Here is a 27,082-nt window from a genome sequence, read left to right on the forward strand (position 1 = left end):
TGGGCAACAAGAGCAAAACTTTATCCTCCGCCCCCCGACCACCCCCCCTCGCCCAAAAAAAGACAATTTCTGCATCTTATGTTTATGAGAGTCACTTAATTCAATATATGGCTGTTGGTGACAATGTACGTTGTACTGTAAAATGTCTGAGTGATACATTCTCCCTTGACTTTGGTTCTAGGTAAGTTTGCTTTCATGGTGAATTGCTGCCTGCTTTCTTTATAAGAAGAACTCTATTTACCTTTCTGCTTTGACTGTCAGGAACTGAGACACCTTTTATGCTGAATTGAAGTGATTAGCTGGTCAAACCAGTATTTCCCTGGAGAATCATTAACCATCATTAAATAAATAATATCCTGTTCCTATTCACTTTGAACACCATGAGTGAAGTGGCTTGGTTGGAGTACAGTGTCTGAAATTGAGACTGCTGGCTTTTGTGACTTTGGACCTTGTCCAAATACTTTAACAGCATGATTCTTCCTCTTGTTGTGCCCCATTTCTAGAAAATGATTTCCTGTATCTTTGAGGTTTCTCTAATGTTACGGGAAGTCAGGGACCCTAAACGGAGGGACCGGCTGGAGCCGTGGCAGAGGAACATAAACTGTAAAGATTTCATGGACATTTATCAGTTCCCAAATAATACTTTTATAATTTCTTATGCCTGTTTTTACTTTAATCTCTTAATCCTGTTATCTTCATAAGCTAAGGATATACGTCACCTCAGGACCACTGTGATAATTGTGTTAACTGCACAAATTGATTGTAAAACATGTGTGTTTGAAAAATATGAAATCAGTGCACCTTGAAACAGAACAGAATAACAGCGATGATTAGGCAACAAGGGAAGACAACCATAAGGTCTGACTGCCTGTGGGGTCGGGCAAAAAGAGCCATATTTTTCTTCTTGCAGAGAGCCTGTAAATGGATGTGCAAGTAGGAGCGATATCACTAAATTCTTTTCCTAGCAAGAAATATTAATATTAATATCCTGGGAAAGGAATGCATTCCTGGGGGGCGGTCTATAAACGGAGGCTCTGGGAGTGTCTGTCTCATGTGGTTGAGATAAGGACTGAGATACGCTCTGGTCTCCTGCAGTACCCTCAGGCTTACTAGGGTGGGGAAAAACTGCCCTGGTAAATTAGTGGTCAGACCAGTTCTCTGCTCTCAAACCCTGTTTTCTGTTATTTAAGATGTTTATCAAGACAATACGTGCACCGATGAACATAGACCCTTATCAGTAGTTCTGCTTTTGCCCTTTGCATTGTGATCTTTGTTGGACCCTTATTAGTAGTTCTGCTTTTTGCCCTTTGAAGCATGTGATCTTTGTACCTACTCCCTGTCCTTACACTCCCTCCCCTTTTGAAACCCTTAATAAAAAACTTGCCGGTTTGAAGCTCAGGTGGGCATCATGGTCCTCCCGATATGTGATGTCACCCCCGGTGGCCCAGCTGTAAAATTCCTCTCTTTGTGCTCTTTCTCTTTATTTCTCAGCCAGCTGACACTTATGGAAAATAGAAAGAACCTATGTTGAAATATCGGGGGCGGGTTCCCCATACTCTAAGGTTTTTGCAAATGCATTTTACATATGCCACATTCCTTGGGTTTTAAATTAGATCATCTCAATCATGTCTCCCAAATTTGGTTTTAAAATATCCTTCCACATGTTTTCTAGTGGTGTAGTATTAGATAAAACCAAAACCAAAATTTTATTTTATTGATATGGGTAATGCTCTCCATTCATACATTACAGCCCTGGTCCCTCAGTCACTAGGTTCCACATTTTGGCACTATTAAAAAAAAAAACAAAACTTTTATTTTCTTCCCTTGAATATCCAATCAGGTGCCATGTTCTATAGTTTTTATTTTTAAAATTATTGTTATATCTGATTATTCCTTTCTAATCTCAATGTTGTATTCTCCCATCTTTCTTCTTCAGGTCTTTGTAATTACCCCACTACCTGGATTATTGCAATCTCCTTCCAACAGGATTCTCTCTCACACCTATCCTCTGGACAGCCAGTTCTCTATGCCGTTGCCAGATCCATCTTGCCAAAGCAGAACTCTGTTGTCTTCACTCTTGGCATTTACAAAGGCCTTCCTCAATGTGCCTCAAGCCAAGGGTCTGGTCTAATTACCATTATTCCTCTTGGCATAGCCTAGCCAAACTGAAACACTCACTGTCCCTGCAACATGCCCTGCATTTTCTCATCTTAATGCTTTGGTTCGTGTTGTTAGGTCTTAGTGCAAAGTGCTTTTACCCACCCCAACCTCAATCTCTGCCAGTCAAGAAATATTACCCATCCTTTATATGTGGCCTCCATAATTAAACTTTTCTTGATTCTTTCCAAAGATGTACTGTCTCCTAGTTTGTTGTTGCTTTTGTTGTTGTTGGTGGTGGTGTTTGAGACAGTATCTTGCTCTGTCACTCAGTCTGGAGTGCAGTGGTCCAATCTCAGCTCACTGCAACCTCCACCTAATGGGTTCAAGTGATTCTCCTGCCTCAGCCTCCCGAGTAGCTGGGACTACAAGCACGTGCCACCATGCCTGGCTAATTTTTTTGTATTTTTATTAGAGACGGGCTTTCACCGTGTTAGCCAGGATGGTCTGGATCTCCTGACCTGGTGATCTGCACGCCTCAGCCTCCCAAAGTGCTGGGATTACAGACGTGAGCCACCGTGCCCAGCTTCTCTCTCCTAGTTTTAACCTTCCCCCTGCCTTTTATATCTGGTCATCTCTTGTGGCAAAAAGCATATTCTTCATATATTAAACTTACTTATGTATGTCTCTCTCCTACATAAGCTCTTAAGATAATGAACTATAGCTCTTTGCCTACTTACCTTTATGTTTCTTTATGTTTTCTGATTAGATCAATGTATTCTATTCCAAAGGTACTCCAAAATTTAATTGAAAATTTTAAATTGAAAATTCAATTTAATTGAAATTGGCATAAATCCAATACTGACAACATGCCCCAAGGAAAAAACTCAAAGGGAGTTTTTTTTAAAGAGCACTACTTGTGTAAAAATATTCACTCAGCCAGGCGCAGTGGCTTATGCCTGTAATCCCAGCACTTTGGGAGGCCAAGGCGGGTGGATCACGAGGTCAGGAGATTGAGACCATCCTGGCTAACATGGTGAAAACCCGTCTCTACTAAAAATACAAAAAATTAGCCGGGCATGGTGGCGGGTGCCTGTAGTCCCAGCTACTCAGGAGGCTGAGGCAGGAGAATGGCATGAACCCGGGAGGTGGAGCTTGCAGTGAGCAGAGATGGCGCCACTGCACTCTGGCCTGGGTGGCAGAGCGAGACTCTGTCTCAAAAAAAAAAAAAAAAAAAAAAAAAACAACATATATATATATATATATATATACACACACACACACGTGTATACATTTACTCAGAACAGGCAGAAGCGGATAAGATGGCAGCAGCAAGCAGCTGATCAGGGTGGGAGAACCAGTGGTAGTGGAGGCAGTAGTGGGGCTGGCGGTGGTTCCAGGTGCGGCACAGGCAGTGGCCATAGCAGCTTGTTGGATAAGTGGAAGACAGATGATAAGCCTGTAAAAATTGACAAGTGGGATGGATTAGCTGTGAAAAACTCTTTGGATGATTCTGCCAAAAAGTTACTTCTGGAAAAATACAAATATGTGGAGAATTTTGGTCTCATTGATGGTCGCCTTACCATCTGTACAATCTCCTGTTTCTTTGCCATAGTGGCTTTGATTTGGGATTATATGCACCCCTTTCCATAGTCCAAACCCATTTTGGCTTTGTGCGTCATATCCTATTTTATGATGATGGGGATTTTGACCATTTATACCTCATATAAGGAGAGGAGCATCTTTCTTGTGGCCCACAGGAAAGATCCTATAGGAATGGATCCTGATGATATTTGGCAACTGTCCTCCAGTCTTAAAAGGTTTGATGACAAATACACCTCTAAGCTGACCTTCATCAGTGGGAGAACAAAGCAGCAGCGGGAAGCCGAATTCACCAAGTCCATTGCTAAGTTTTTTGACCACAGTGGGACACTGGTCATGGATGCACATGAGCCTGAAATATCCAAGCTCCATGACAGTCTCGCCGTAGAAAGAAAAATAAGGCCGGGTGCGGTAGTTCACGCCTATAATCCCAGCACTTTGGGAGGCCGAGGCGGGCAGATCACAAGGTCAGGAGATCAAGACCATCCTGGCTAACACGGTGAAACCCCGTCTCTACTAAAAAATACAAAAAATTATCCAGGTATGGTGGCACGTGCCTATAGTCCCAGCTACTGGGGAGGCTGAGGCAGGAGAATGGCCTGAACCTGGGAGGTGGAGCTTGCAGTGAGTCGAGATCGTGCCACTGCGCTCCAGCCTGGGCGACAGAGCGAGACTCCGTCTCAAAAAAAAAAAAAAAAAAAAAGAAAAATAAAATAGCCAATTCTAAAAGTAGCCCTCTTTCTGTTGGATCTTGCTGAATTACTGGTTTGTGGGGTGGGGGAGATAAAAAGAATTTAAAATGGATAAAGTAAAAAAAGTTTAAAAATCCCTGTTTTGTCCTGAAATTTTAGTCTGTTCTGGATAAATAGGATTTTCTGAGAGAGATATGAGAAGTTGTAGCTCTGATGTCTAGCTGTAGTCTCCTGGGTCTGCTGATTGCATTATTTTAATTTGCTTTTCTGGGAAAGCAGTTTTGCTAAAAGCTGTACAGACTTTCCTTTGTACCTAGTAGTACTTTATATAGTATAGCTTTGGGCTATGTAGCATTTTAAGACTCAATTAATAAAAAATTAATCTGTTGCTGACTCTGTTAATTCCTATTTCCACATGTATTTCCTTGAAGAATTCAGGATACGACTTCTTGTGTATGACAGTTTTCCTTCACACACTATTTTTGTGGGTGTGTATATATCTGATTTGGGGAGAATTTAAAAAACACATAGCTTTTTAATTTGTTTGAAACAGACCTTTTGCCTGTTACATTTTGTGCTCTTAACCAATTAAAGAAGCCAATGACATGTTAGTTTTATATTGTGTTTTCCACTAGTATATCCCTGTTGATTTGTTTGTGCCTTTTATTAACTGCCATTTTCTAAAATTTTTTTCAATAAAGGGAAGACGTGAAAAAAATTACTCAGAACAGCAATATATAATAAACAATTAAAAAATCAACAATAAGGGAGTTGTTAGATAAATTAAGGTAGGGCTGAATCTAATTCTCCTGGGTCTGGCCCATAGGAAGTATTTAATACTTATTAAATGAATGGTATACTACCGTGTTGCAATATTATTTACTCAGGTGCATGTGAAATCAGTTTAAGGGAAAAATAACTTTCACAAAACATAGGAATTACATCTATAGAAAACCTATGCTGCCGGGCGCGGTGGCTCAGCCTGTAGTCCCAGCACTTTGGGAGGCGGAGGCGGGAGGATCGCTTGAACCTAGGAGTTCCGAGGCCAGCCCGGGCAACACAGACAGATCCCAGTCTCTACAAAAACTATATTTAAAAAATTAGCTGGGCGTGGTGGTGCGAGCCTGTAATTCCAGCTACTTAAGGTCAGGGAGGTCGAGGCTGCAGTGAGCCATGATCGCGCCACTGCATTCCTGCCTGGGGGATAGAGACCCTGTCTGAGAAGTGAAGGAAAGGGGAATGGTAGAGGGAAGGGGAAGAGAAAGAAAAGAAAACCTATGGAGGTACGTTAATAATCAGAAGGGGCCAGAGGAAGCCACCTGACACATTTGTGAGACAATTTAAAAGGCGTTCTCATACATTCTCACTTTGATACAACAACCCTGCAAAGTGCGCACGGAAGGTGTTATTAACTCCGTTTTACAGGTAAGGAGATCGACCCACTGAGGTCAGGAGTGACTGACCAAGGCGGAGCCAGGACTCTAGCCCCCGCCTCCCGGCCACTGGTCCCGGTCTCCTTCCCCGCCACCACTCGGCCACCGTCATTGGTGTTCAGAGTTTCGGTTCTCTTTTCTGTGATCGTATTACTTATGCAAAACGAGCCCAGTCACTTGCGCGGCCAGAGAGGGGCAGGTGCTGGGCGGCGGCTGACGGGCGCAGCACCCTAGGCCCAGTGTCTGGCTCCAGCCCCGCATCCGGCGCCGGCCCCGCATCCAGCTCTGGCCCTGCGACAATAGAGTCCGGAAGTGCAGGCAAAGCGGCTCCCGGGAGCGCCGCGCGGTCCTGCGCGGGATCAGCGAGGGCCGCGCCCCGGCGGGCGGGCGGCATGGCTGCAGTGCTGGCTCTCAGGGTGGTCGCGGGGTTGGCGGCCGCAGCGCTGGTGGCCATGCTCTTGGAGCACTACGGCCTGGCGGGCCAGCCCTCGCCGCTGCCGCGCCCCGCGCCCCCCAGGAGGCCGCACCCTGCGCCAGGGCCCGGAGACAGCAACATCTTCTGGGGCCTGCAGGTGACGCGGCGGGAAGCCGGGCCGGGAGGCAGGTGCAGATCGGGCACCGTGCGGTGGGACCCTTGCGGGTGTTGGGCCCCACGCTCCAGGCTGGGGACCTCAGTCAGATTGTAACTCGAGGCTCTGTCTAGTGCTGGCCCTGTCCTTACCTGGGGGGTTCGTTATGCATTGCCTCTTTGCCTTTTCCTTCTGCCCGAGAGAGCCGCTGAGCCGCCCCTCCCCATGCTGCCTCTTCCTGGCTCAGATCTCTCTGTTCAATACCTGTTTTCGGCAGATATCCGACATTCACCTGAGCAGGTTTCGAGATCCAGGCAGAGCGGTAGACTTAGAGAAATTCTGTTCTGAAACTATTGACATCATTCAACCAGCTCTCGTCCTAGCAACAGGTAGGGAGGCTTGCCGTGCTGTGGTGGTGGTCTGTGGTCCGCATGGTAGAACTCTAGCCAGGGCTGTGGCTTTTCATTTTGGGGACGTTGGGAGCAGTATAGCCACAGCCCCAGGTGAGCTCTGTGAGGTGGAAGAGATTGGACATTCTAACCCCTTTGCCTATGGATAACTGAATGAGTCAAGATCCAGGCAAAATGATTTGACGTAGCAAGGTTTTGTCAAAGCAGTAGAAGCAAGGCTCCTGGTTCTCATGTCAGTCTGTTGTCTGATATATTTGTATCTGGTTTTTGTTCTTGTTGTTGTTACAGTTCTGGTTGTGAGAATTAGGGAAAAGCCTGTAACCACGAATCAGAAGTTCTCTTCTTTTGCTAACTTTTCTATTTTCTTTACATTATTAATCTTATATTTTCAGTTGTTTGAGGCTTCCGGTGACCCAGGGCACTTTTTCTTCATCCTTTGATAGTTTTATGACTTAAGTTTTCTAGACTCTTCAAACACTTTATTTGCTTTCAAACTGTAATGGGGAGAAGAAGCTAAAGGAGCATCTATCTATCTTGCTTACTGGGGAATTCATCACTCATCCACCTTATTGAAGCATCTCTGCTGACATGAAAGGGTATCAGTTCTGATTTAATGGATGAGCCTCCATAAAAAGTTTTCTGTTTAGTTCTCTATAAATTTTGGTATTTTGTTGTCCAATTCCACCTGCCACATTGCTTCTTGCTGTAAAAATAATACTTGGTCAAATCACATATTCTGATTTTGTGGTTTGGAAAATATGGTTGCCATAGATATTAGGCAGCCACTCAGAGTACTGGAATTTCTTATAAATCATTTTCATTTTATCAGAGTCTATTGATGCATTTTGTACTGTTCTCTTTAAAGATTTTTTTAACAACCCATTTCGAATATCACAGGAGATTGAACAGGCATTTGCTAACCTATAAGAAACAAAGTCCTTGCTGAGAAAATCTTGTTAGTTTAGATGGCTCGATTTGGACATTGGTGGTCTCGTGAGCAGTTATGCTTATACACGTTGAGTGCTTTAAGTATCCTTGTTCCTTCAGTGTACATATCTAAAAAAAATGGAACCCCCAGTAGTTTATTTTGCATTGTGATTCAATTCTTGTGTAAACCTACAGGAGACCTGACAGATGCCAAAACAAAGGAACAGTTGGGATCCAGGCAGCATGAGGTAGAATGGCAAACCTACCAGGGTATTCTGAAGAAGACAAGAGTCATGGAAAAAACCAAGTGGCTGGATATCAAAGGAAATCATGGTAAGAGCCAAGAGCCAGATACAATAAAGACAAGAGTTTTTTTCCCCCTTCAGGAACCTAGATTTTCCAACTTAGATTGTAAAATTATAAAGTGGGACATTTACATATACTAAAGGTCACATCTCTGAAATACAACTATATAATGTGGTTTTAAAACTTCAAATGTCATTGTTAGCCTTTGAGATGACAATTGGTATGGTCCTTTTTTTGTGACATATGCTGCTTCTTTTTTTATTATTATTATTATACTTTAAGTTCTGGGATACATGTGCAGAATGTGCAGGTTTGTTACATAGGTATATATGTGCCATGGTGGTTTGCTGCACCCATCAACCTGTCATCTACATTAGGTATTTCTCCTAATGCTATCCCTCCCCCTGCCCCCATCCCCCAGTCCTTTTTTCTGTACATGGAAAAAATATGAGTTTTAGCAAAACTCATGCAGACAGATGTTTTAATAAATATACATTTTGCTAAGTGAAAGAAGGCAAACCCGTAAGTCTGCATACTGTATGATTTCATTTATATGACATTCAGGAAAGGCAAAACAATAGACAGAGAACAGATTGTAGTTACCAGAGGATAGGGATTGGGAGAGAGATTAACTGCAAACAAGCATCATGGAGAATTTTTGGTGGTGATGGAACTAGTCTGTATTTTGATTGTGGTGGTAGACTTCAGGTTCACTATATATTTGTCAAAATCCATAGAACTGTAAGTCACAAAGGATGAATTTTACTGTGTGCAAATTTTAAAAACTTAGCTTTTATTTTTTCTTTTTAAAATTTACTAGTATTATTATTATTATTTTGTGAGACAGAGTCTCACTCTATCACCCAGGCTGGAGTGCAGTAGTGCAATCTCAGCTCACTGCAACCTTCGTCTCCCGAGTTCAAGCGATTCCCCTGCCTCAACCTCCTGAGTAGCTGGGATTACAGACAGGTACCACCCTGCCCAGTTAATTTTTTTTTTTTTTTGGTATTTTTAGAAGAGGTGGGGTTTCACCACATTGGCCAGGCTGATCTCGAACTCCTGACCTCAAATGATCTGCCCCTGCTCAGCCTTCTAAAGTGGTGGGATTACAGGCGTGAGCCACCACGCCTGGCTTATTATTATTTTTTTGACAGGGTCTTGCTCTGTCACTCAGCCTGGAGTGCAGTGGTGTGAGTATAGCTCATTGCAGCCTTGACCTGAGCTTAAATGATCCTCCCACCTCAGCCCCACAAGTAGCTGGGACTACAAGCATGCATCACCATACCCTGCTAATTTTTGAAGTTTTTTTTTGTGGAGTTGGGTTCTTGCTATGTTGCTTAGGCTGATCTCAAACTCCTGGGCTCAAGTGATCCTCCTACCTCATTCTCCCAAAGTGCTGGGATTACAGGTGTGAGTCACTGCACCTAGCTTAAAAAGTTTAAATTGCAAACAAATCTCCATAGGCATGAACAGGGAAATGGATAATCCTTTCCCTTTTTAAGATTATCATTGTGTTGGTAAGGAAATGAACTCTTCTCCAAAAGAGTCCTGATGGTAGTGTATTTGTTTGATTTATAAAGGTTGACTTTTTTATTAGCTAAGTACTTCATTTGTCTACTTTATCTGATCAGTAGATCAGGCATGAATCCACTTCTTGCTGGCTTTTAGAATCACATGATTAAGACAAGAGCAACTACAGTTCAATCTTATAATTTCAAAGTTATTTATTCTGAGTGGTATAGAATTCAAAGTACCTGTTTTTCTCTAGTATACTAAGTGCCTTAAATAAGTTTCTAGATAATCTGAATTTTGTTAAGATATCAAAATTTTAAAGTATCAATCTAATTGATTGGCATTCTGCCATTAAAAGTGTTATAGAAAGATGACAGAGGCTGCTACAGTCACGCCATGCCTAGCTAAGTCTGTGCCAGCAGAGGCAGAGAGCTTGCGGTGGGCCAGTTGCCCCTGCTGGAGCCTCAGTTAAATCTGAACATCCCACTGTCCCAACCCTCCCACAGATGTGCACCGGGCTGTACTTTGGCTTAAGACTGCAGGTGGACATCTCCACTGCCCGGGAATCATGGAGTGTGTAGACAGGACAGCCTCCATGGAAGGCTGGTCATACCAGAGTCCCACCTTGGCACAGGCCTTGCCATTGAGGCAGCTCTACTGTCTGTGCTGGTCTGAGGGTGGGCTGCCTGTCATGGGGGCAGCCATTTCCCAGGGGGTGTTCATTGCCGTCATCTGCAACGCCTCATAGGCTTCTTGCTGCTTCTGCTCCGAGTCATTCTCTGCCGGGCCTACACTCTTGCTATGCCAATATTGACTGTCTCTACAGATTTAGTCCCAACTCCAGCCCTGGCCCCTATCCTGAAAAGGTACCACTGCCCAAGAAACCTAGCCATGAAGGCAGCTACCTGCTGCAGCCCTGAAGGCCCCTGGCTTAGCCTGGAGCTTGGGACCTAAGTCCATCCCACCCACATCCTGGAATCAAGATTCCAGGGTTTTAGCCAGACTAGGGTCTAGAACTTGGAGCCTAACCTGCTTGGATTGGACTCAGCAACCCTGAGTCTAGCCATACTGGTTCTAGGAGAGGCTCAGTGGCCCTAGAGAGATGGGCCATGGTGGGAGTTCATGAATTGCTGGTAGGGCCAGGGCCATCTGGACTCTGTTCTGAGTCAGGGGCTGAGTCTACCCTTTCCTTAGGCTAAGCACTTCTAGGTGGGGGAAGCAAACTGAAACCCATGGCAATAATGGGAGGTTGTCCAGGATGTGCCCCTCTCCTAGTCCTCCCACTGTTTGCTGAATAATAAATGGAACGGCTCTACCCTGGGGGTGTGTGTGGAAGAATTGTTATAGAAAGAATTATTTTCCCTTAGTCATTAAAGAAAATGTTTGTATTCTTTTTTTAATGTGGATGAATGTTTGCTTTTTTTTTTTTTTTAAATTAGATGCATTCAATATTCCAAGTCTGGACAGCATCAAGAATTATTACAGGTACTGTAATAAACAGAAGACAGACCACTATGTAGAGTCAGTGTTATAAGGAGGGTGTGGTCAACTCAATGAATGAGAGAAAACTTTAAAAAAACATTTTAAGAGGCAGGGGTCTCGCTATTTTGCCCAGGCTAGCTCTGAACTGAGCTCAAACGATCCTCCTGCCTCAGACTCCTGTGTAGCTGGGGCTGCAGGCACATGCTACTGTGCCTAGCTGAAAACATTTTTTAACAGGTAAAATTTTTCTATAAAGAATCTCTAGTAATTTAAAAAATGAGCCTTTTTGTCTTTTTGTGACAGATGCATTTCTTTTTGTTTAGAGTTTTTCTTTCCTTTAATTCTTTCTGTTTCATATACAGGCATACCTCGTTTTATTATGCTTCGCCTTATTGCACTTTGCAGATGTTGCATTTTTTCAAATTGAGAGTTTGTGGCAAGCCTGCCTTGAGCAAGTCTATGGGAGCCATTTTTCCAACAGCATGTGCTCACTTCCTGTCTCTGTGTCTCATTTTGGTAATTCTCACAATATTTCAAACTTTTTCATTATATCTTTTATGGTGATCTGTGATCAGTGACCTTTGATGTTACTATTGTAATTGTTTTGGGGTGCTACAAACCTTGCCCATATAAGTCCAGGAACTTAATCAATAAGTGCTGTATGTGTTCTGAGTGCTGCACCAATCAGCTGTTCTCCCATCTCTCTCCCTCTCCTCCAGCCTCCCCATTCCCTGAGACACAACAATATTAAAATTAGGCCAGTTAATAACCCTACAATGGCCTCTAAGTGTTCAAGTGAAAGGAAGGGCCCAACATCTCTCACTTTAAATCAAAAGGTAGAAATGATGAAGCTTGGTGAGGAAGGCTGTTGAAAGGCTTTCAGATAGGCTGAAAGCTAGGCCTCTTGAGCTGGAGCAGTGAGCCAAGTTGTGAAGGCAAAGGAAAAGTTCTTGAAGGAAATTAAAAGTGCTCCTCCAGTGAACAGATGAATGATTAGAAAGTGAAACAGTCCTACTGCTGATGTGGAGAACGTTTTCGTGTTCTGGATAGACAATCAAACCACCTACAACATTCACTTAAGCCAAAGCCTAATCCAGAGCAAGATCCTAACTCCCTTCAATTCTATGAAGGCTGAGAGAGGTAAGGAAGCAGCAGAAGAAAAGTTGGAAGCTGGCAGAGTTTGGTTCATGAGGTTTAAGGAAAGAAGTTAACTCCATAACATAAATATGCAGTGTGACGCAGCAAGTGCTGATTGATGGAGAAGCTGCAGCAAGTGACCCAGAAGATCTAGCTAAGATAATTGATGAAGGTGGCTGCGCTAAACAACAGATTTTCCATGTAAATGAAACAGCCTTCTTTTGGAAGAAGATGCCATCTAGGACTTTTATAGCTAGAGAAAAGTCAATCCCTGGCTTCAAAGGATGGGCTGACTATTGCTAGAGGTCCATGCAGCTGATTTTTTTTTGTTGTTGTTGAGAAAGTTGCACAATAATTTATTTAGGGCCTCCTCTCCCCACCCTTGCAGTCTCTAGGTCACTTTTTCCGCTTGTAGATTTTGCGCGCCAACCCCAGAAAGATGACTGGGGGCAGGGGAGCTGCGTACTGTTCAATGAGACCCATAACGTGGCTGTAACTGTCTTCCTATTATTGCAAGAACATGGCCGGCAGATCCAGCTCCTCATATACTGCCTTCACCGGGGCCACCTTCTCGGCCTCCTTCTGCCCAAAATTCTCCTTCAGAATCTGGTACTGTTCTGGAGTGGCCCGTTGCAGACACTGAACCACCAGCCAGCTGCATTTGTTGTCCTGGATGTCAGTGCCAACTTTGGCGGTCACATTGGGGTCCCCAAAGAGGTGAGGGTAATCATCCTGATCTGAAAGAACTCTCCCTCTCCCATCTCCAGCAGGATCTTCTTGGCATTGGTATTCTCCTTCTCTCTATCAATACCTGCATATACATGGCTGCAGCTACAGGAAGGTAGAAGGAGTAGAAACTGCCTTGTACGTGACACTAGATTTGTACCTCTTTTCAGTGAATCTGCCAAGATCCACATTGCCCTGGGGGGCTATGATGAGATCCAGGGTCTGCCCAATCTCAGTCTGATAGAAACTCTGCCGGAAGAGCTGGATCAGGTTCAGGTAATAGGGCTGCTCATGGCAATAGAGCTTCAGCAGGCGGTACATACATGCTTCCCTTCCAGAAGCATAGCAACATTGATGGCATCCAAACCCGCGCCCGGCTTCTGATATCAGCAGATCTGTCCCCAGTGGGTGAGGGATGAATCCATGATGTCATTTGCCACCAGGAAGAAAGCTTGCAGCAGTTCCACACACGAGCCCATAGTCAGGGCCCGCTGGAGACTCTCAGTATCCTGTTTCCTCGGCTCCACCAGCTCCCAGAATGCTACTAGCACCATCAAAGCCCAGTGATACTTGCCTCCAATGGCATTGTACTACAGGACCTCCGTGAGCTGGGTGATAGCATCTCCTGTCTCTGGGTGCCCCATCTCATCCTCAGTCAGCACCCTAACAATCTGGGAGAAGCACTGAATGAAATCCTGCTTTTCTTGGACAGAAATGTCTGATTTCTGGTCTCCATTCATTCTGAGGGAGGAGCAAAGGGCTCTGTTCCTGGATGTGGGTTCCTGCTCCATAGCTGATGACTTTAAGTGGAGCCAATGCCCACTTACCATTCTGAAAATCCTTGGGTGCTTAAGCGTTATGCTAAATCTACTCTGCCTGTGTTCTATATATGGAACAACAAAGCCTGGATAATAATAGCACATCTCTTTACAGCATGGTTTACTGAATATTTTAAGTCCACTATTGAGAACTACTGCTCAGAAAAAAATATTCCCTTCAAAATATCAATGGTCATTGACAATGCACCTGGTCACGCAAGAGCTCTGAGGAAGATGTACAAGGAGATGAATGTTATTTTCATGCCTGCTAGCGCAGTATTCATTCTATAGCCAATGGATCAAGGAGTAATTTCAACTTTCAACTCTTACTATTTAAGAAACACATTTCATAAGACTATAGCTGCCTTAGATTATGATTCCTCTGATGGATGTGGGCAGTCAATTGAAAAATTTATGGAAAGGATTCACCATTCTAGATGCCATTAAGAACAGTTGCAATTAATGGGAGGAGGTTAAAATAACAACATGAACAGGAGGGAAGAAGTTGATTCCAACCCTCATGGATGACTTTGAGGGGTTCAAGACTTCAGTGGAGGAAGAACTGTAAATGTGGAAATAGCAAGAGAACTAGAATTAGAAGTGGAGCCTGAAGAGGTGACTAAATTGCTGCAATCTTATGATAAAACTTGAACAGATGACAAGTTGCTTCTTATGGATGAGCAGAAAAAGTGGTTTCTTGAGAAGGAATCTACTCCTTCTAAATATGGTGTGAACATTTTTGAAATGACAACAAAGGATTTAGAATTATACATAAACTTAGTTGATAAAGCAATAACAGTGTTGGAGAGGATTGGATTTCTTTGGGTAAAATGCTATCAAGCAGCATTGCATGCTATAGAGAAATTCTTTTTTTTTTTTTTTTTTTGAGATGGAGGCTTGCTCTGTCACCCAGGCTGGGGTGCAGTGGTGCGATCTTGGCTCACTGCAACCTCCGCCTCCCGGGTTCAAGCAATTCTCCTGCCTCAGCCTCCTAAGTAGCTGGGACTACAGGCGCCTGCCACCATGACCCGCTAATTTTTATATTTTAGTAGAGACAGGGTTTCACCATATTGGCCAGGCTGGTCTTGAACTCCTGACCTCGTGATCTGCCCACCTCGGCCTCCCAAAGTGCTGGGATTACAGGGGTGAGCCACCGCGCCCGGCCAAGAAATTCTTGTGAAAGGAAAAGTCAATTGATGTAGCAAACTTCATGGTTACCTTATTTTAAGAAATTACCACAGCCACCCCAACCACCACCCTGATCAGTCAGCAGCCACCAACGTCAAAACAAGACCCTCCACCAGTAAAAAGATTTTGACTCGCTGAAGGCTCAGATGATCATTAGCATTTTTAGCAGTAAGGTTTTTTTTTGTTTTTTTGGTTTTTTTTTTGAGACAGGGTCTCTCTGTCACCCAGGCTGGAGTGCAATGGCGCGATCTCAGCTCACTGCAATCTCCACCTTCCAGGCTCAAAGTGATCCTCCCACCTCAGCCTCTCGGGTAGCTGGGACCACAGGCGTGAGCCACCATGCCTGGCTAATTACTGTGTTTTTTATAGAGACAGGGTTTCTAAATGTTGCCCAGGCTAGTCTTGAACTCCTGGGCTCAAGTGATCCACTCACCTCGGCCTCCCAAAGTGCTAGGGTAACAGGCGTGAGCCACCATGCCCAGTCAGTAGAAGTATTTATAAATTAAGGTATGTGCATTGTTTTTCTAGACATGATGCAATTGCACACTAAATAGACTATAGTATGGTGTAAACATAACTTTTTTTTTTTCTTTTGAGACAGGATCTTGCTCTGTTGCCCAGGCTGGAGTGCAGTGGCACCATCTTGGCTCACTGCAACCTCCACCTCCCTGGTTCAAGCGAGTCTCCTGGCTCAGCCTCCTGAGTAGCTGGGACTACAGGCATGTGCCACCATGCCTGGATAATTTTTGTATTTTTAGTAGAGACAGAGTTTTGCCATGTTGGCCAGGCTGGTCTCAAACTCCTGACCTCAAGTGATCTGCCTGCCTTGGCCTCCAAAAGTGCTGAGATTACAGGCATAAGCCACTACGCCCAGCCGTAAACATAACTTTCATACACACTGGGAAACCAAAAAATTCATGTGACTCGCTTTTTTGCAATATTTGCTTTATTGTGGTGTCAGGAACCACAATATCTCTGAAATATGCATGCAGTTTAATGCTTTGTTTTGGCTAATGGTACTTTTAATATTCCACACGGGCTTAAAAAATTGTTTAAGTCATTGATACATAGGAAAAGTCATTTATATCAGAGCTTGTCAGCCACACTACTGAGGTCACTGGGTTTTCAGAATCCTGAGATACTGATTCTCCTGGCCTCTGTGGTGGCTGGAGAGCCCAGTTAGTCACCTGGCTGCTTTATCTTTTCATCCTGTGTCATACAAATATTAAAATAATCTTTATTTGTCACAAATGTGAAAAGGCAAGGGATCTCTGAATTAGAAACCAATTGTCTAGTTTCATTATGTTTAGATTCCTCTTTTGGTTGCAGTGCACTTTTCAGCCTCAGGGTATTCAGTAGCTTTGTTCTGCATTGTCAATCAATCATGTAGCAAATATTTATTGAGAATCCATCCCTAGTTGGATAGTGTGAGAGATACATGAGTTAATGTTAAAAATTTGGCTTTTGCCTTCAAGGAACTGATAGTGTAGTTAAGGGACATCAGAATTATTTAGGAAACAATTAGAAAATAACATGAAGAAATGGCCGAGGAAATGCTAGATTATTTGGTACACATGATAATCACTATGAGAAATTAGAAAAGCATGGGGGTGGACATAGAGAAGACTTTATAAAAGAAGCAAAAAGTGTGTCCAATCTTAAAAGATGAGTAGCATTTGAAGAAGTAAGACATGCCAAGGAGGATATTTTAGGCAAAAAGATAGGTATGAAGAGATCTTTAAAAGCTACAGACTGGGAAACCAAAAACTGAACTTTGCAGGGGCAGTAAGAAAACTGGTGTCACCAGAATTAACATTCATACTGAGGACTAGTATGACACTGGATAGGCAGCCTAGGGCTAATTTATGGAGGTCTTAAGTAACAAGCATAGAAGTTGAGATGTGATGGGTAATAGTTCATAATTCAGCATAGGTTCTTAAGGAGGCAAGTAACATAATTAAAATAGTGTTTTATAAATGGCAATCCCACAATAAAAAAGGAAAAAGATGGGATAAAAAGGAAAAAAGAGATATTGGAGTTATGTGGACTAAATAGGAGGGTCCTGCAATAGTCTAGTCATGATAATGAAAAGTCATACCCATCTGAACTAAGTTCTTGGATATGGAGATGGTGACATCAATTTGAGGATGATAGGTCAAAAAGCACTGGTTAACTGAGTTTGTATGATTAGAGTCACCATACATTGGAAGAGGAGGTTGTTCTCTTTTGTTAATGTGAGAAAGGAAGAGGACAGAGATGAAAATCTTTCACTTCCTGTTAACTGTTTGTATCTTTCATGGTGACTGTGGGGAGTTAGGAGACATGTTCAAAAGTAATTAACAGGACTTGGGGCTGAGTGGTTATTGGGAAAGTAAAGTGAATAGTCACTTTAAAGTTTCTTACCTTTGTATTTTTGTTTTTAGCCACCTAAACTTTATCTGAATTTAATAAATGGCATTTTACTAAAAATATAAATATTACAGAAATACCAATCTGAAGAAAAAAAATTAAAGTTAAATCTTGATCTTAAAAATGTCCCAGAGAGGAGGCAGAGCTTGCAGTGAGCCAAGATCGCGTCACTGCACTCCAGCCTGGGCGACAGAGTGAGACTCCGTCTCAAAAAAAAAAAAAAAAGATTCTGAGGAATAACTGAACATAAAATAAGCAAGAAAAAATATAAGTAAAAATTTTAATTTAGAATAAAACCCTGAAATAGAATTTTTTTTTTTTTTTTTTTGAGACAGAGTCTCATTCTGTCATCTAGGCTGGAGTGCAGTGGCACGATCTCCACTCACTGCAAGCTCCGCCTCCCGGGTTCAAGCCATTGTCCTGCCTCAGCCTCTGGAGTAGCTGGGACTACAGGCGCCCGCCAGCACGCCCGGCTAATTTTTTTGTATTTTTAGTAGAGATGGGGTTTCACCATGTTAGCCAGGATGGTCTCGATCTCCTGACCTCGTGATCCGCCTACCTCGGCCTTCCAAAGTGCTGGGATTACAGGCGGGAGCCACCGCGCCTGGCCCTGAAATGGAAATTTAAAAAATACCAAGAAGAAAGGCAGTAGAACTAATTGACATTGTTTAAATTGGGTTTGACTAATTTCTGAGTATTAGTTGTAATGTCTATATCATATATTTACTCGGGTTACATTATATTTGATGGTTGTTGTGGCCCACTAGCATATTAAATTTCAGGAGTTTATTTGTATTTTTAAATATATGCTGTTAGGTAAAAATCATGTAAGACACTTAGATAAATGATAATACCAACTTTTCTTATAATGTTCTGACATTTGAATAATATAGGTATGCCCTCCAATAAAATCTATACTTTCCTTCTTATTTATTCAACACATACTTAATGAGTGCCTGCCCTGTACTGTGTTACTCATCCTTTCTTCCTGGTCTTCACTCTGCAGTTTTATGGACACCTGAACACTGTTGACGCTTAAGGTGGTAAACTTTCATTAGTGGATATAGACCCTGTGTATGTTATCAATATATCTTTAGGAACTGAAAAAGATTTAACAACCCAGACCTAGACTAATATTTTTTCTCCTTGCTTGAAGACTTCATCTTTGCAAGTCTTTCTTGTGAATTAAGCCTCTGTAGTCCTGTTTCAAGAAGTAGACAGCTTTTTTATCTCACTACACCAAGAATTCTAGGTACTTAGTATGCCCTCACTAAATCTGCAAATGATTGATAAATACTGTTCCACTGGATTTTGATTTCTTTTTGAACATTTAATGGACTCCCTAAAAGAGCCGTCTTACTTCTGAACTTGGTGAACTTGTATTTGGTTATTGAATGAGTTTGCATGAGTCTTTGGGGACAATGGGAGAAAAACTTTGAAATTTCATCAGTTTATCCATTGTGGATCTAGTTTAGTATATTTCTGTCAGATCAGCAAATCTCGTTTTCAAAGGAAGGTAAAATCTAGCGTATTAGGGAAGGAATTTTAAAGCATTGTCTTTTTATTACACTAACACCCTCCTGTCTTCTATTTTTTAGGAAATATTCTGCTGTACGTAGAGATGGCTCTTTCCATTATGTCCACAGTACTCCCTTTGGCAACTATTCGTTCATCTGTGTAGATGCCACTGTAAATCCAGGGCCTAAGAGACCCTATAATTTCTTTGGAATTTTAGATAAGGTGCAGTAAAAATCTTACTTCCCTTTGTAGCTTACTTATTTTTTCATGGATACGTGTGGATCACTTAAAGTTATCAAAAGTAAACTAGTTGTTATCTAGGAATGCTTTGGAGAAATTTAACTTGGTTACAGGTATGGCTAGAAGTTACTGGCTATTTCAGCACTATTTTTGCTATCCTTTTTCTTGTCCCAAAATCTGAGAAAGAAGTACCTCACACTTTATGGAGTAAACATTTATTAAATAGGTACTGAGTACAGGATGCACTTTGCAAGTTACAGGACATACAGCTTTGTGTGGTATATTCCTAAGTTCCCACAATTGCCAGTTCTAACTAGTGTTTATTTTTTGAGACGGAGTTTTGCTCTGTCGGCCAGGCTGGAGTGCAGTGGTGTGATTTCAGCTCACTGCAACCTCCACATCCCAGGCTCAAGCAATTCTTGTGCCTCAGCCTCCCAAATAGCTAAGATTACAGGCACGTGCCACCATGCCCAGCTAATTTTTGCATTTTTAGTAGAAAGGGGGTTTCGCCATGTTGGCCAGGGTGGTCTCGAACTCCTGATCTCAAGTGATCCACCTGCCTCAGCCTCCCAAAGTGCTGGGATTACAGGCATGAGCCACTGTGCCCAGCTGGTCTGTATTTTTTTAAAGAAGAGAAGGATGACTATTGAAATCAATAAGTTTATTTTCAAGTATTTTGACAAGGCTAGGTGATTGCTGGATTTAAACTGTGTGGAAAGTCTCATTTGAGAACCTCTTATTATTTCTTGGTACAGTAAATGCCAACTCATTATTTAATAAGCATATGCCCCTAAGTAAGACATATGTGCTCATATGAAAGAATACAAAAGTGATAAGATCAAGTTCTTAGACTCTTAGAGTATTTAATCTAGTGGTGAGGTATAAGACCAGTATAGAAATAAATATAATAAAGAGCAGAATTTGCTAAATTAGAAGTAAGAGGTTCAGAGTTATACGAGAGTTCGAAAGAATGTGAAATCAAGTGAACAGAATATTGTCAAATGCATTGTGTTACTTTAGGCATTTTATTTAATTAGGTTCTATTTTGTTTCTTATCTATCAAGTGTCTTTAGTCAGGGTTGATGAACTTATATTAAATCCCATTCCTTAGTATAGTGTTTTTTAAAGGTAGAATTCAAGGATCATGTACATGAAAACCAACTGGAGTGTTACAAAATACAGATTCCCTTGCCTTGCCCCAGACTTATCAAATTAAAAACCCTGAGGGTAGATCCCAGAAATGTATTGCTGTAAGCACCTTACATATAATATTAATGCATATTTACATAGGTACCAGTTATTTTTTGAAATCAACTTTTGAGGTATGATTTGAGTACTATAAAATACCCTCATTTTAAATGTTTGAAGAGTTTTGACAAATGTATATATTGGTATAACTGTCACCACAGTTAAGACATAGAACATTTCCATCATCCTAAAGTCTTGTCATCCTTGTACAGTCTGTCTTCACTTCCTAGGGAATTACTGATTGGTTTTCTATCAGTATAGATTCATTTTGTTTGTTCTAAAATTTTGTATAAATGAAATCATACAGTATGTACTCTTGGGTCTGGCTTCTTTTGCTCAGTATAATGTTTCTGAGATCCATCCGTATGATTGTGTGTATCAGTAGTTCTTTCCTTTCTGTTGCTGAGTGCTGTTCCATCGTGTGGATGTATTACAACTTGTTGATGGTTTCTAGTTTTTGGCTATTATCAGAGCTGTTATAAACATTTAGGTAGAAGTCTTTCCATGATATTATTTTAGAAGTTTAGTTTCTGTATCCTCTTTATTAATCGTAAAGTGTTATACAAAGCTGTAAAGATTAGTGATGACTTCATTTCGCAGTTTCCTTATCTATTAAAAGAGGATAATACCTACCCTACCTATTGCAGAGTTATTTTTAGTATCAAATGAAATATAATGTATGTGAAAACAATTTGAAACTTACAGAGGTCCATAGAGGTCATTAACTAGTAAGGTTTAAGGCCTAGACACATATAATAATTATTATAAATCTTCAGAGGAGTTTTCTAATCTGTTGACATTAGATTTTAGCCTGAGCCCTAATTTAAGATCCTTCCATTTTTCTCCCATCTCAGAAAAAGATGGAGGAGCTCTTATTACTGGCCAAGGAAAGCAGTCGGAGCAACCATACAATTTGGTTTGGACACTTTACAACATCCACTATTCTTTCTCCATCACCAGGAATCCGGTCAATAATGAGGTGAGACAAGCTTCCAAAATCAGAATTAATTTGTTTTTAGTTTTTTTATTTTGCTGTTACCTATTCTGCTTTTCTGGCAAGACATTTTTATTAGTTTGGCCTCACGCGTTATCTTTGTTCATTTATTTCATTTATTTTTCATTGGTTAGTTCGGCTATAGCTTATTTGTGTGGACATCTCCATACACTTGGTGGACTGATGCCTGTTTTGCACACTCGTCACTTCCAGGGCACTTTGGAACTTGAGGTGGGAGACTGGAAGGATAATAGGAGGTAAGGGAACCTCCCCATAGAAGAAAACTTATACACATAAGTTTTGCCAAAGCAATGATAGTTTTCTTACTGATATCATGGGTGATCACAGTTAAAGAAAAACTTGTGATATTTCTGTTTTTTTAAAGTAATATATGTCTCTGAAATCTTTGTCATTTTGCGGAAACCTTGTCATAGCAGGGATGTTTACTATCACTATGTTACATTGGATTTTCAAGATATGTCCATTAGGAATTGGACTCAAACTCTAGTGTGCACAAGAATTATGGAGGAGCTTATGAAAAATAAAAATTTTCAGGCGCTGCCTCTAGAGATTTTGATTGTGTTGGTCTGGATTAGGGTCCAACAAATTACATTTTTTTTTTTTTTTGAGACAGAGTCACGTTCAGCTGCCCAGAGTAGCTGAGATTACAGGCACCCACCATCATGCTCAGCTAATTTTTGTATTTTAGTAGAGATGGGGTTTCACCATGTTTGCCAGGCTGGTCTTGAACTCTTGACCTCAGGTGATCCACCCGCCTCGGCCTCCCAAAGTACTAGGATTACAGGCGTGAGCCATGGCGCCTGGCCCAAACTGCCTTTTTTAAAAGCCCTCTGGGTGGTCTATGCATGACAATTTGAGAAATACTAGGACTAGAAGTGTCATGTTTTTCCTCCTGAATTTTGTATCTACCATACTGGTTATTGTTACAAGATGGTAGTGATTTAACTTCTTCAAATAGATGATAGTTGGCTTTTTTAAGGTTAAAGTCTCTCTAAGAGAAAATATGTTTATCAAAAGCATGTAGTGTAGTTAAATATATGGTTTTTTCTTTTTTAAAAAGAAGTATTTAAGTGAAATAGTTTATCAAGTTTTGAGGAGTATCATCTTATTGTTTAACTATTACAGTTATTTAATTTACACAAACCCTGTGCTCTCAGATAATAGGTACTCAGCAAAGGTTTGTTGAGCTGAATATGTTATCTTTTTATTTTTAACTACTTCCATTAATTAAAAAGGAACTTTACATCTTGGAAGGTACTTTCTCATTTTGGTTGACTTTTTAAAAACTGTGTGAGTTATGCTTGAAACGTGTAATTATTTGGCAACTATAATTACTTTGAGCTAAGAGTTGTCTGTTCATGGCTGTGAGGCTGTGGGCTGGGCTATGATTGCCTTTTGTGAGATAGTCTTACTAAGCCTTGACCAGCTTCTTTATTTCTTCTAAGTGCTCTAGTTACAAGTTGTGATGTTAATTATGAAGGCATTTCCTTTCTCTCTCCACCAGTTTTCCTGTGTCCAACCCTGGGGTTTTATTTGGAGCGTACTCCAGATAAAAGGACCTAAACTTTACCTGCCCTTATAAACACTTAAATTGTGTTAGTTACAATAGAATAATTTTTAAAAACAGTATATTGGAAATATTAGGCTAGGCCTTGTTGTAGATGCAGATAAATCCAGAAATATCAGTGGCTTAACACAAATGTTTTTCATTTGTATAAATTCAATATGAGTCAGAACAACTCTTATCCATGGGATGAGTCAGTAATTCAGACTTCCTCCATCTTAAAATTCCTATTTCGACATGTCGATTCCAGGGCAGGGAAGAGAGCAAGGAGAACTCACACCCACTCTTAAGTACTTTGGACCACAGGCATGATATGTGTCACTTCTCTTCACAGCCCATTGGCCAAAACTAGTCACATGGTCCCAACCTGATACCAGGAGACTGGGAAATTCAGGGGAATGTGTAGAGAATTTCGTGAGCACTATTGTTTCTGCCATAGTGAATCATTTCTTTTTTTAGTTCTAAAAGTTAGAAAATATAAAACTTTGGTTATTCTTTAATGAATATTTTATACCTTTTGTTATTGCATTTGGAAAATGAAAACAACTTTAATTTCTTTGAAATTATAGAAATAAATGTTTAATGCTAGGCATGGTGGCTTACGCCTATAATCCCAGCACTTTGGGAAGCCAAGGTGAGGGGGATCACCTGCGGTCAGGAGTTCGAGACCAGCCTGGCCAACATGGTGAAACCCTATCTCTGCTAAAAATAGCCAGGTGTGGTGGCGGGCACCTGTAATCCCAGCTACTTGGGAGGCTGAGGCAGAGGTTGCAGTGAGCCAAGACTGCGCCACTGCACTCCAGCCTGGGTGACGGAGTGAGACTCCATCTCAAAAATAAGAAAAAAAAAAAAAAAAAAGAAAGAAAGGTTTAAAAGAAGCATGAAAGATTTCTAATTTTGTTCATATCAACCATTTTAATATTTTATGTAGCATTGTTGATGGGATGAAGAATGTCAAGTATTAGGGTTATAATAAATATTTTAGGTTCAAAATTGTCTTAAAGTACAGGGATAAGATGAGTTACTTCAACAAGTATTTATTTAAAAATTAAAGAGTACATGCCGTGTACCAGGTGTTGTTCAAGAGCACAGTTGAATCCATTGCCCAGTCAGAGGCAGTTATGTGACAAATGTGAAGGATAAAGTGATGGGGTAAGGGAAGAAAGAAAGAAAATATTACTTAATCTGTATTCAAATTAATCATGTAAAAAAGTCCTAGTTATGTATTTTTATATTTGTTCTGTATATTACCTTCATGACCTCTTACAATGTGAAGTGACTAAATTACCTTATCATTATCTGGTCTTTAGGTACCGGATTTTTGCTTTTGATCACGACCTCTTTAGCTTTGCAGATTTGATCTTTGGGAAGTGGCCTGTGGTTCTTATCACCAATCCTAAATCACTCCTTTATAGTTGTGGTGAACATGAACCACTAGAAAGACTTCTTCACTCAACACACATCAGGTATGTAGCAATTTTTTAGAATTTACTTTCAGTTTGATAATGAAGGAGAATAAGTCATTGTGATTGCATTCCCATGTGAAAGCTATGAGATGCCCCATTTTAGTTTTCTCAACAACCTAAACATTATATAAAGATAGATTGCTTACTGTTTTGTTTCCATTAAGTTAAAAAGCATATCATTTTTTTAAGCTGATGAAATTTTAAAAACCATTCAGAAATCTATAATTCTACCATTATTATTTTTGTTTTATTTTATTCCAGCCTTTTTATTTGGACGCTTTTACATTGCTATAAGCATAATGTACATATTCCTTTATAGTCTACTTTTTAAAATTTGCATTATATATCAAATTTTTTTTCATTTGTTATGTAGCCTTCTAAGAAAGCAAAAGCTATATATATAATCCTTATGGAATTGAAAATTCAGTTGGCAAATGAATTTGTTTTGTTTTGTTTTGTTTTGATTTTCGACAGAGTCTTGCTTTGTTGCCCGGGCTGGAGTGCAGTGGCCTGATCTTGGCTCACTGCAACCACTGCCTCCCGAGTTCAAGCTTTTCTCATGCCTCAGCCTCTGGAGTAGCTGAGATTACAGATGTGTGCCACCACGCCTGGCTAATTTTTGTATTTTTAGTAGAGAGAGGGTTTCACCGCGTTGGCCAGGCTGGTCTCGAACTCCTGACCTCAAGGGATCCGCCCTCCTACGCCTCCCCAAGTGCTGGGATTACAGGCTTGAACCACCATGCCTGGCCATGAATTTGATTATATAGATTAATAGAATCCAAATGGGACATTAACATTCTTTTTGCAAAGAGATATATAACTTGTTTCAAATGTAAGAGCACTTTTTAAAATATACTTTTACAATTTATTTTGAAAAGTAATACAATAGAACAACCTTTGGAAAATAGGGTAATGGGATTTTAAGTATGTTTTTCTCCACTTCTAATAGAACTATTATTAGCACTTCTGAGTATTTCTTCTCAGGCATTCTCTCTTAAGATGTTTTTATATAATTATAATCATAAGGCACAGTCTATTCTAATTCCTGATTTGTTTTCTTTCAGCACAAAGAATGTACCACAGTTTTTCTAACCATTTTCATATCTCATTGGTGAACTTTTAAGGTTTTTCTTATTTGTGGATGAATATCTGGTACATATATATTCTTCCTTCACTTGAATAATTTCTTTAAGAAAGAGTTCTAGAAGTGGGATTCTAGGTGAAAGAATTTGAATTCTTTTATGACTGTTGATAAAAATTGCTCAATCCCTTTTTTTTTGGAGCTAAAATCACTATTTTTAATCATGGTAAGCATGATTAAACAAAGTACACATGGCATAAAATGTACCATTTTAACCATTTTCAAGTGTACAGTTCAGTAGCATTAAGTTTGCTTCAAGTTTACATTGTTTTGCAACCATCACCATTATCCATTTCCAGAACATTTATCATTTTCTAAAACTGAAACTTTTACCCATTAAACAATAACTTCCTGTTCTTCCCTCTCCCACAGCCCCTGGCAACCACCAATCTACTTTCTGTCTCTATGAATTTGACTACTCTAGCTAACTCATATAAGTGGAACCATTCAATATTTATACTTTTGTGACTGGCTTATTTTCATTTAACATGATGTCTTCAAGGTTTATACATGTTGTGGCATATGTCAGAATTTCCTTCCTTTTAAAGGCTGAATAATGTTCCATTGTACATTGTGTGTGTGTGTGTGTGTGTGTGTGTGTATATACACACATATGTATACACACATACACACATACCACATTTTGTTTATGTGTTCAATGGACACTTGGGTTGCTTCTAACTTTTGGCTATATTGAATAACGCTTCTATGAATATGAGTGTACAGATAACGGTTCAAGTCCCTGCTGTCACTTCTTTTAGATATATATCCAGAAGTGGAATTGCTGGATCATATGGTAATTATCTGTTTAATTTTTTAAGGAGCTGCCATACTGTTTTCCATGGTGGCTGCACCATTTTACATTCCCACCAGCAGTGTATCAGGTATCCAATTACTTTCAACAACAGATGCTAATTTATCATATTACCAAGCAATATGAATGCCAAATTCACAATACTCTTATTATTATTGGATATTATGCTTTAAAAAGTATTTACTAATTAACTTGTAAAAAATGGTACCAAGATGTTTACATTTATTGTTTTCATCACTAATGAAATGGAACACACATGTGTCAGTCAGGTTTTTTGGTGGGAGCTGGATATCAGGTTTAGGTGTCATACTCTCTGAAAGGGCTTGGTAGCCTAGTTCTGGTTATAACCCTGTTTCTTTGGGACAGACACCCTGGTACCAAATGAGTAGATGGTAGGCTTGACATTAGATTAACAAAATGAGATTTCCACCCTATATTATTTTCCTAAGAGAAAAATCAGTACTTCTGGAGTTTCTTCAGAAAGAACTTTGAATCTACCTTACCTAGATTTGTCAAAAGAAAATTGATTTTTCTTTCTAAAAAGTAAAAGAATAGTTCCGAATTTCTTACCAGTTCAGTTTTGCTAATTGTCCAACTCCAGAAGCCACCATTCGGAAAGAAACCAGATCATATCAATAGTGGCTCCTGCTGTTGTACAATATGATGGTTCTGCCTATACGTGTATATCTGCAAGTTACAATAAGGTTATTCTCCTTTGCAAAAACAATGACAAACCTCAAACCATGTGTTTTATATATGCTCTCATTT

At 40.5% G+C, this 27,082-nt stretch overlaps 1 protein-coding gene and 2 pseudogenes across 42 annotated transcripts in view, besides 3 other annotated features; 2 read left to right on the top strand and 1 right to left on the bottom strand.

Moving 5' to 3' along the window:
• On the top strand, positions 3,405–4,099 carry SPCS2P1 (signal peptidase complex subunit 2 pseudogene 1; annotated as a pseudogene).
• Positions 5,529–27,082, top strand: part of TMEM62 (transmembrane protein 62) — a 52,030-nt gene continuing 30,476 nt past the window's right edge. For 2 of the 42 annotated variants that reach the window (NM_001347006.2, NM_001347015.2), the window contains exons 1-8: positions 6,000–6,428; positions 6,671–6,782; positions 7,926–8,063; positions 10,988–11,033; positions 18,907–19,048; positions 21,169–21,293; positions 21,443–21,565; positions 24,204–24,359. In NM_001347006.2, coding sequence (NP_001333935.1) covers positions 8,024–8,063; positions 10,988–11,033; positions 18,907–19,048; positions 21,169–21,293; positions 21,443–21,565; positions 24,204–24,359 — 632 coding nt within the window. In that variant the 5' untranslated portion in view covers positions 6,000–6,428; positions 6,671–6,782; positions 7,926–8,023. Of the gene's footprint in view, positions 5,817–5,999; positions 6,429–6,670; positions 6,783–7,925; positions 8,064–10,987; positions 11,034–18,906; positions 19,049–21,168; positions 21,294–21,442; positions 21,566–24,203; positions 24,360–26,321; positions 27,080–27,082 lie in introns of those variants that run through there. The other 40 variants (NM_024956.4, NM_001347032.2, XM_047433101.1 and 37 more) reach the window with 29 other exon arrangements.
• Positions 5,788–5,847: a silencer, noted in NCBI's record as "silent region_6381". NCBI's record gives its function as "represses an Ori minimal core promoter by ATAC-STARR-seq in GM12878 lymphoblastoid cells {active_cell/tissue: GM12878}" and the evidence as "EXISTENCE:reporter gene assay evidence [ECO:0000049][PMID:35858748]".
• Positions 6,068–6,467: a silencer, noted in NCBI's record as "silent region_6382". NCBI's record gives its function as "represses an Ori minimal core promoter by ATAC-STARR-seq in GM12878 lymphoblastoid cells {active_cell/tissue: GM12878}" and the evidence as "EXISTENCE:reporter gene assay evidence [ECO:0000049][PMID:35858748]".
• Positions 6,658–6,869: a silencer, noted in NCBI's record as "fragment chr15:43426442-43426653 (GRCh37/hg19 assembly coordinates)". NCBI's record gives its function as "represses an EF-1alpha promoter that drives an FKBP-Casp9 reporter gene in an ReSE screen in K562 erythroleukemia cells {active_cell/tissue: K562}" and the evidence as "EXISTENCE:reporter gene assay evidence [ECO:0000049][PMID:32094911]".
• Positions 12,508–13,681, bottom strand: FDPSP10 (farnesyl diphosphate synthase pseudogene 10; annotated as a pseudogene).

Source organism: Homo sapiens, chromosome 15, assembly GCF_000001405.40.
Source record: "Homo sapiens chromosome 15, GRCh38.p14 Primary Assembly".
Classification (NCBI taxonomy): Eukaryota; Metazoa; Chordata; class Mammalia; order Primates; family Hominidae; genus Homo; species Homo sapiens.